Raw genomic sequence first — 9,090 nt, 5'->3', positions numbered from 1 at the left:
AACTACCACCACCTGCTGTTTTTTGTTCTGTTTTGGTTGTATTATTTTATATTGTGGTAATATACACATAACACAAAATTACCATCTTAACCGTGTTAACAATTCACTGACATTAAATGCATTCATAGTGTTATGCAACTATCCCCGCTATCTAGCTCCATAACTCCTTTCATCTTATAAAACTGGAATTCTATACACCTAAAATAATATTTTCCTATTCTCTCAGCCACTGACAATCAGCTTCCTACTTTCTCTTTAGATGTTTTTTGACTATGTAACATAAGTGAGATCATAAAGTTTTTGTCCTTTTGTGACTGGATTCTTTCACCTTGCATTATGTCCTCAAGGCTCACCCGTGTTGTAGCATATGTCAGAATTTCCTTTCTTTGTGAAGGCTGAATAATGCTCCTTTGTATGTATACATGATATTTCATTTATTCATTCATCTGTTGATGCACACTTGGATTGCTTCCACATTTTAGCTGTGTAATACTATTGTGAACATGGGTGTACAAGTATCTCTCTAAGAGCTTGCTTTCAGTTCTTTTGGGTGTATACTCAGAAATTGAATTGCTGCATCATATAGTAATTTTATGTTTAATTTTTTGAGGAACTGCCATACTGTTTTCCACTGTGGCTGTACCATTTTGCATTCTTACCGACAGTGCACAACAGTGCACCAGTATCTCCATACTCTCACCAGCACTTGTGATTTTCTGCTTTTCAATACCATCCTAACCGGTGTGAGGTGGCATCTCGTTATAGTTTGGATTTGCATTTCTCTAATGATGAGTCATAGTGAGCATTTTTTCATGTGCTTAGTGGACATTTTTATATCTTCTCTGGAGAAATGTCTATTCAAATCCTTTGCCCACTTTTGAATCAGGTTGTTCGGTTTTTGTTTTGTTGCAGTCATCTGTGTTTGTAAATAAAGTTCCATTGGAATGCAGTGTCCCACCATTCATTTATGTATTGTCTATGACTGCTTTTACACTATGATAATAACGCTGAGTCATTATGACAGAGCCCATTGGCCTGCAAAGCCTAAAATGTTCACTACCAGCCCTTTGCAAAAAGTGTTTGCTGACATCTGTTCTAGATCTATGTCTATTTTACTCGTCTAATATTTTCATACTGTCTACTTATCTTTTATCATAGTATTAACTCCTAACTTCTATTACTTTTTCCTTTTTATTTTTATCCCTTCTGTATTGAAGTTAAGCATTCATAAATATTTGGCTCAACTAATTTTTCTTACCAGTTTCATAAGATTCTAACTTTGCTCAAATTTTTTTTTTTTTTTTTTTTTTGAGACAAGGGCTCACTGTCGCCCAGGCTGGAGTGCAGTGGTGCGATCTTGGCTCACTGCAGCCTTGACTTCCCGGGGTCAAGCGATCCTCCTACCTCAGCCTCCTAACTGGGTGAGCACCACCATGCCCAGCTAATTTTTGTATTTTTTGTAGAGATAGGGTTTCGCCATGTGGCCTGGGCTGGTCTTGAACTCCTAGACTAAAGCGATCCACCAGCATGGGCCTCCCAAAGTGCTGGGATTGATTACAGGAGTGAGCCATTGTGCCCAGCAAATTAGTCATTTACTTCTTAATGTCCTTAACATTACACCTATTGCTCCCTTTTCAAGTGCAGCTGCAGGCAGTGATCATCTGGACAATGGCCCCACAAGACTCTCCTCAAAATCTCCCTGTTCTGGGCTACATCTCAAGGCTGGGCCTTACCAAGGCCCAACTCCACTATCCAGCCACTGTTGGAGGAACCTGCTCATCAGATGGTTATCCAATGAGTCCTGCTCCTTTGCAGATGACTTCATATAAAATACTGACACCTGCTGACCACACAGATTGCTACTGTGTGACCCAACAAACCAGGCTGCCCCATCTCAGGTTAAGCTATTCAAAGGACAGCTAGCAGCTATTAAAGCTGAAGTTACAGAGAGCTGCTGGCTCATTCTCTAAGACACGTACATGTAAAATCTTCTGAACGTTATCCTATATCTTCTCTGGTTAATACAACTATATCCAGAGCTCTAAATCCCAATAATGACTGTACAGGTTGGCAGAATCTTCCCTTGAGGGAATTCTTTCAAATTTTCACATGTGTTAAACATTTACTGTATTTCAGGAACTGTGAATGATACTCGAGGTAAAAAGTTCAGTAAGACATGGCTTTTCTCTTCAATAAATTTATGATTGAGTTTGGGTGAAAAACAAGTACCATGATTACAATACGGTGGGATACGTTTTATTGAGAAGTGTCATGACGAAGGATATCTAGATCAGGGAAGTCTATCAGGACAGGGTGAAAGAAGGCAGTCTGCCTGGGAGCTGCTCAGCCCCCTTCCCCATCAGCCTAGCCCCTCTTTGAACCATGCCAGTTCTAGACGGCCTACAGGAGCGCGAATGAGTGAGGAACTTGGCACAGAGCACCTTTCTGTAGTAATCCCCACAGTGAGGAACAGAGGGATGTGGCTAGAGGGCAGAAATGACCAAGGAAATTTATGAACCTGCCTGATCACCACCCCCAACACACACACACACACACCCATCCACTAAGCTCTGGCTGTGGACAACAGAAGACAAAAAACCACCCACAATTCGAGCACAGTCCTGAGTCAAGGGAGCCTCAGGGAATAAGACAAGACATGGCAGGCATGGTTCAGGCTTTACTGGGCATCACACGGAGCTGGGGTAGGGACCCAGCAAAGGGAGCAGGGCATACAGATGGTCTTTGAGGACAGTGCTAGGGAGCTCAGAGATCAGTCTGGCTTCTCAAAGAAGAGAAAAGCACTGACAGGAAAAGCAGTCAGGTTGGCGTTAGTGCAGGGAAAGGAAGACGTTAGGAGGGGGACTTTGATGGAGGACAGTGGGGAGCTGAAGCTTTAAAGAGCCTCGATGCGGGGAGGGATGATGTTAGAAGAAAGGAAGCCAATGAGGCCTTGGGGAAGAGAAGAGAGTAGAAAGAAGGAAAAAGGAAGAAGGCAGGTCCAGGGAGTCAGGCTGTCCTCCAGGGTCGCAGGCAGCAAGGTTGGCTCCTCCCTCCCATCTTCTGGCATCACTGGGCCCTATTTGCTGTTCCATGTAGCTGACTTTCCAAACAAAAGACCTCGGAGGAATTGGCTGGACTTCATGTAGGCAGAGATCTTCTTCAAACCCTGAGGGCGGGAAGAAGGGGCCAGAGCCAGGTCTGCTGTCTAGAAGGGCTCAAGTAGCTTTGCTGCAGGCACAGCAGGTCAGGGCCCTGGCCACAGCCTTTCCATGTGGGCTCAAGTGCTGGAGCATCACACGGTCTCTTAGGTCCCCAGCTCTTCTAAGTTAACTCTTCCAACTTCCTTTAAGTAATGTTATACCATAATAACAGCTACCATTTACGAAAGATCTACACTGTGCTGGGTGCTTTATATCCAACAGAAATTACAACACAGGCTTAGAAAATCCACTCGACTACCCTCCATGGTCAGTTCTATTATCACCGTTTCTCATATAGAAGAACAGAAGTTCAGCAACTTCCTCACACTCAAATAGCTAGTAAGTGGGACAGGGCTGGAATATAGCCTGGTTCTGTCTTCAGTTCTAGCATGTTTTTGCCAAATTCTCCTCCTCTTCCACCCAGCCACACCCCATGCCAGATCCTGTCACTCCTTGTCGGCACAAACATTCTCCTTTTTCACAGGGAGGTTCTTGGCTTGCCTAGGATTGCACACACAGAAAGGACCTCCAGCAGAACAAAGGGGCTCAGAACACACCTGTGCAGCCAAGAAGAGAGCACAGATCTCACCCAATGACTTAGCAAAACCTGGATGAAACTGAATAGGGTAAGGGTGAACCACCAAAGGAAGGCCAGACCAGGCTCTAATCATTCCCATTAAAGCATAAAGTCCAAACTTCTCCACCTGGTACCTGAGCTAAATCTCCCTATGTCCCTGTGCCCCCATCACATCTCCAGCCCTACTACTGCTAGCCAGGCCACATGACACTCAGGTGTGCTGCACACAATCTTACCAGGATTCAATGACCATGTAACTTCTAAAGAATTCAAAGAGATCCAGGGCTCCCTCTCCCCAAAGGGCCAGGGCCAGGCCCAGGCAGGCTCCATGCCCCAGCCCTCGGCTGTTCCCCACCGCTCCCCTCCCACCACCTCTTACATAACCCCAAGGCTGCTCAGGCTGGACCAGAACCAGAGCTGATGGGAACTAGCTGAGCAAGCAGATTTCTTGATGGGGAGTGGGAAAGGGAAACAGATTCTAGGCTCAGAAGCCTGTTGGACTAATGCCTCAAATCCCCAAATCTGTACTAAAGTAGGATTTGCTGCTCTCAAACAACTTCAACACAGGTGAGGGATGGTTCCCCGTGAGTGAGGGGCAGGCCCCAGGCCCGGTACCCAGGTGGTGCCACACACACCTCACAGGCTGCTCTGCCTGCAGGCCTCTCACTGCACTCATTTCCAGGATGGGGCAGTCATCTATGCAACTCCCACTGTGCCTCACACCCTGCCTCATGCAGAGGAGAAGGTCGGTGAATAGGAGTAAAATCAGTGTGCTACTCATCTCACAGGGGGAAGACGTGGAACATTGGAGGGAAAAAAAGAGAGGAAGAAAGATAAAGAAGGAGAGTGCCCCAGCACAGAGCACTTCAACACACACTGCTTCAACAGGGGCACCCACATATGTACCCTAATCCAGCTCCAGCCACAGCTCCGGATCTCAGGATTTTCCACATGGGGGTCCGATCATGCAAAGCTTCTGGGGGTGGCTATGAATACTGCCTGCAGGTTTAGTACTCAACATCAATGCCACTGTGTGTCAGTCCTACTATTGCCAGCTGCATCCGTGGTCCTGAAGTGCTCTGCCTCTTTCAAAGTGTTCTGGGCTGTGAAACCCAGGCTGGATGAGGCCTGAGGCTTCTCCTTTTGTCACAAATGGGAGAGCCCTGACTGCCACCCATAGATCCAGAGGCTCACAGGGAGCCCAGCACAGCCTCCACTGGCTCTGGGACCCTGAGCAAAGGACTGACCCTCTCATTCTCAGTTTTCTTATCTCTAAAATGGGCAAGATAATTCTGTCACCCTGTAGGAATGTTGGAAATTTCAAATTCTACACGATAGGTATAATGTGCTGGGCATGATTCCTGGCATGAAGCCCGTACTCAATACATACGAGTTATTCTTTGTGTAGCTCCAGGACTGGGAAAGCATCTGAAAGGAGAGAAAGGAACAAGGGGCATCAAAGAGAAAGGAGGATGGGGGCATCACCTCAAAGCGGGAGATGAAGTCCTTCAAGTTTAGGAAGGCGTCCAAGCACTTGGGCTCAAATATACGCTTCATGTCAAGGACATCATAGGCAAGGAAATCCACAAAGGTGATCTGAAGAAGGCCAAGAATGTGTGGGCTGAAAACCCCGAAACACATGAAGTAAAACAGATCTCATTCCCCATATCACTCCTCCTTTACCTTGTCTCCTGCAAACCATGGCCGCTTCCCCAGAAACTCTGAGTAGAGCTTTAGCTTTTCAGGGAGTTCCTCCAAGTATTTTGGCTTCAGTTTCTCCTGAGGCAGAAAACAGCTGTCACCACCCTCAGACAAAAGCTCCCTGCACAGACGTGGCCTCCCCAGGGCTGTAGATGGCCCAGGCTGGCCACAGGCAAGCAGCCATCTTCCCCACAACTAAAACCGGGGCAGTGCCCAGGCTTCAATTGGATACATCAGCATTTATTAGACTCTGACTGGGTGCCAGACCCTATCTGAAGTGATCAGAATGAGATGCTCTTCCTGAATCTGTCCTCACTGGCCTCCCAATAGCCTCTGGGTCAGCCGCATGAGCGCCCGAGCACCTGGCAGCCTCTGGATCCAGACAGGGGCAGAATCAAGGATGCAAAGAACTAAAGGAGCTCAGGGAAAGAAGTAGAAAGTTCCTTCTAATGGGGTGACAGAAGAAAACAATGAACATTGACTAGTTTCCAGGGAGATGAGAAGTTCAAGTTGAAAGGAAGGAGGGAGAGGAATAAAGGCCCTCTGGCTGCCTCTGAGCTGTCTGTTATGAAAATGCGCAGATCCCGGTGCATGTCAATGACAGCACTTGGAAAACTTTGAGGAGAAGATGCAATTTGAGGGTGCCATTACATTCCTTGGTCTTGTACTTGAGTCTGTATATTCTAGGAGCAGGTAGGTGATATAAATCAACTGACAGAAATGACCCATGACAGAGGCCAGAGGCCAGAGGAGATGAAGGAGATTCTGAACACAAATTTTACCATCTAGGAATTGAATTTCCACCGTGGGATGCCTGGATCGTGTCCTAAGATTGGTGGGAATTGCCTCTGCTTTTGTTGACATGACATTGGAGTCGTGAGAATAACTGCTGATAGTATGGGAAAGCACTTGGAGGATGAGTGGTACCAAGGACTTAAGAAAAGACCAGTGCGTGCAGGAATGCAAGAGTCCTGGCCCCAAATCCAAACTCTGCCAGGTGCAGCTCACTGGGGAGACTCACAAACTCTGGGTGGTAGCAGATCATGACCAGTTGCATCCAGTTGTCCGTGGTCTGGTTCTCCAAAATGTCCACAAGAATCTTCAGAAGAGGAGAAGATTCGTGTGGACATTTTGGAGAACCAGGTTATAGACGTCTCCAGTCAGCTGGCCGGAGTCTGCTACAGACCTGACTTTGGAAGTCCCTCCCTGGTCTGGGCCAAAAGGCAGGGAAATGGGTGACTGGGAGTGGGGTGTGGGACTCACAAAATCTGGGTCATAGCACAGTCTGACCAGCTCCATGTGGTTATCCATAACCTGGTTCTCCAAAATGTCCACACGAATCTTCTCCTCTTCTGTCTCCCCACCTGCCACCCACAAAACACAGACTCAATCTCAGCATCACAGCCCAGCCAAGGAGGAGGTCACCTTCCCCCCGCACATTGCAGCCACCCACACTCACACAGGTTGTGCTTGCGGGCAATGTAGCGCAGGATGGCATTGCTCTGGGTGATCTTGTGAGCCCCATCAATCAAGTAGGGCAGCTGGATAGATGGGAAACCGGGGAAGCTCAGTTGGGCCACCAGGCTCCCCAGCATCCCCTTCCCATATGCAAGGGCAGAGAGGAGACCAGGGCCTGCTCATGGCAGGCCTGAGATAGAAATACTGTCACACTAATAAATGAGCTGGGACACAGAACATCATGCAAGGGCTGTGTAGACAGCCAAGAGTGAGAGGAATTGGGCAGAAGACTCCTGATCTTAACACCTCTAAGGTGGGGAGAGGAGATGCAGTCAGAGACACGTCGCACTTTCCCCCAAAACCGCCCCTTCCCCTGCACCTACATTGGGAAAGTCCAGGCCCAGCTTGAATTTTTCATTCAGCCACTGGCTTCTGTCATAGTCAGGAGCTGTGGTGGGGAAGAAGTGAAAACAAACCTCCCCAGAGCCCAGCCCTCCTTCCCGGGGACCCTCCCAAGGAGCCAGTGGCAAGATCCCTGAGACAGGTGGATCTAGAATCTGACCACTCAGTCCCACATCCCAGGGTTCAGGGAGAAAGAATCCCACTGAGGGCTCTGGACCCCACAACGGCTAAGGCTTCCAGGGTTTAGGGAAGCTCTGAGGGACACCCAACCCAATTAGACAGGGTGTCCAGCATCCCGCCCCAGCATTCTGCCTTGCAAGGCCAGAGGGCTCACTCACGGGAGCTCAGGGAAGGGACAGCCTGCAGCTCCAGCAGGGGAGGCCTGCAGAGGCAGCCACAGGTGGCCACCATGGGTTGCTTGGTGCCAACTCAGCGTGAGTGGGCAGGGCCCGGACACGAGGGTGCCATTACCGTCCCCCAGCGTGTACTTCTTTTCCACATAGCTTGAGTCTGTGTATTCCAGGAGCAAGCGGATGGCGTGGGCCAGCTGGGAGAGATGGCCCGCGGCTCGGGTCAGAGATGGAGGGTCCCTGACTTGGTGACTTTCTCTGCACCAGGCCAGCCCCTAGTCTATACTGCACGTACCCGTCGCCTCCTCTACCCGCCCCCACCCCCAAACACACACACAGCGTCATGCACAGGCCCTTCTGAGGCGGGCAGCCCTGAAGAGGAACGGTCCCTAGAGCCAGTCCTGCAGCTACTCCACACATCCCCGCCTCCGCCCCCTGTCCCACCCACCAGAGGACCCTCGCTTACCCCACGGATGTCCCAGTACCCCAGAGTCATGGGCATGGTGCTGGTTGGTGCGGATTCTGCAGACAGGCATCAGCGGAGCGGGGCTCAGACTTTGAGAGGCCCAGGAGGGGACAGGCGGGGCCTTGCTGCGACCCCGCCCCTCGGCCCGCCACAACCCCGAAACACGCCATTCTGTAGGCCCCCGAGCGAGCGCCCGGGGCTGGAATCAATAAGCCCCCTCCCGCCTCCCAGTCCCCAGGGTTCCGGGAGCGAGGTCAGGGCGCCCAGAAGCCCAAAGCGGGGCTCGGCCTCGCCAGCTTCCCCAACCCGCCCTGAGGCTCCATGAGTCCATCCAGCCCTTGCTAGGTCCACAGCGACTTGGCTGTGCGCTTGAGACACCAGCCAGATCCTAACGGAGCAAAGCTCTTCTCCCTTCTCCTCCCTGCCCGCAGAATCCCTCAGCCTTCTCTCCGCTGCCGAGTTCCCAAGGGCTCTGGGAGACTCCGGCTGCAGGGGTCAGACTAAAAAGTGGTGGTCCCAACCTGGGAATTTAATTCAGCCCCTGTCACTGTAAGAGCAGGACTTCCTCTGATCCGAAAGCTACTCCGAGGGCTTAGTCTCCCCTCTAGCCCCGCCTACACAGGAACAGTGTCAGTGGTATAGGAAGGACCCCCAGGAAAAGGGCCAGAGTAAAGGAAATGTGGTCTGTGTTTTCTGTTAGGGGCCTTTGGATACTGAGTCCTTCGGTCATCTGGCTAAGTACTATGTAAATTAGCCACTTCGTATTTTGGCACAATTTATGAATCGAAATCCAAGGATCAGATCCAGCAAGTTGGTGAGGTATCTGAGGTGCCCCCTAGAAATGTCCAGCCAGTCCACTAGGTGAACCTCACAGAGACCGGAACAGCAACAGCAACAGTGAGTGCAGTGGCCACAGAGAGCAGGCGAGGGAGGATG

The 9,090-nt window shown here is 49.8% G+C and overlaps 1 protein-coding gene across 3 annotated transcripts; it reads right to left on the bottom strand.

The window, feature by feature from the left end:
- Nucleotides 1-2,234: 2,234 nt before the first annotated feature.
- GSTM5 (glutathione S-transferase mu 5) lies at nucleotides 2,235-8,752 on the bottom strand. 3 transcript variants are annotated; one of them, XM_005270784.5, is made up of 9 exons: nucleotides 8,676-8,752; nucleotides 8,155-8,210; nucleotides 7,810-7,885; nucleotides 7,320-7,384; nucleotides 6,938-7,019; nucleotides 6,742-6,842; nucleotides 5,461-5,556; nucleotides 5,263-5,373; nucleotides 2,235-3,166 (listed from the first exon to the last, which is right to left on the bottom strand). In XM_005270784.5, the coding sequence occupies exons 2-9, from the start codon at nucleotides 8,188-8,190 to the stop codon at nucleotides 3,077-3,079; spliced, it is 657 nt and encodes a 218-aa protein (XP_005270841.1). In that variant the 5' UTR covers nucleotides 8,191-8,210; nucleotides 8,676-8,752; the 3' UTR covers nucleotides 2,235-3,076. The 3 variants fall into 3 exon arrangements, with proteins under 3 accessions (XP_005270841.1, NP_000842.2, XP_005270842.1); NM_000851.4 differs by lacking the exon at nucleotides 8,676-8,752 and having other exon boundaries at nucleotides 8,155-8,252; XM_005270785.5 differs by lacking the exons at nucleotides 6,938-7,019; nucleotides 7,810-7,885; nucleotides 8,155-8,210; nucleotides 8,676-8,752 and having other exon boundaries at nucleotides 7,320-7,390.
- Nucleotides 8,753-9,090: the final 338 nt, after the last annotated feature.

The sequence above is a fragment of the Homo sapiens genome, chromosome 1 (assembly GCF_000001405.40).
Source record: "Homo sapiens chromosome 1, GRCh38.p14 Primary Assembly".
Classification (NCBI taxonomy): domain Eukaryota; kingdom Metazoa; phylum Chordata; class Mammalia; order Primates; family Hominidae; genus Homo; species Homo sapiens.
The sequence above is the reverse complement of the archived record's forward strand: the minus strand, read 5'-3'. Positions and strand labels throughout refer to the sequence as shown.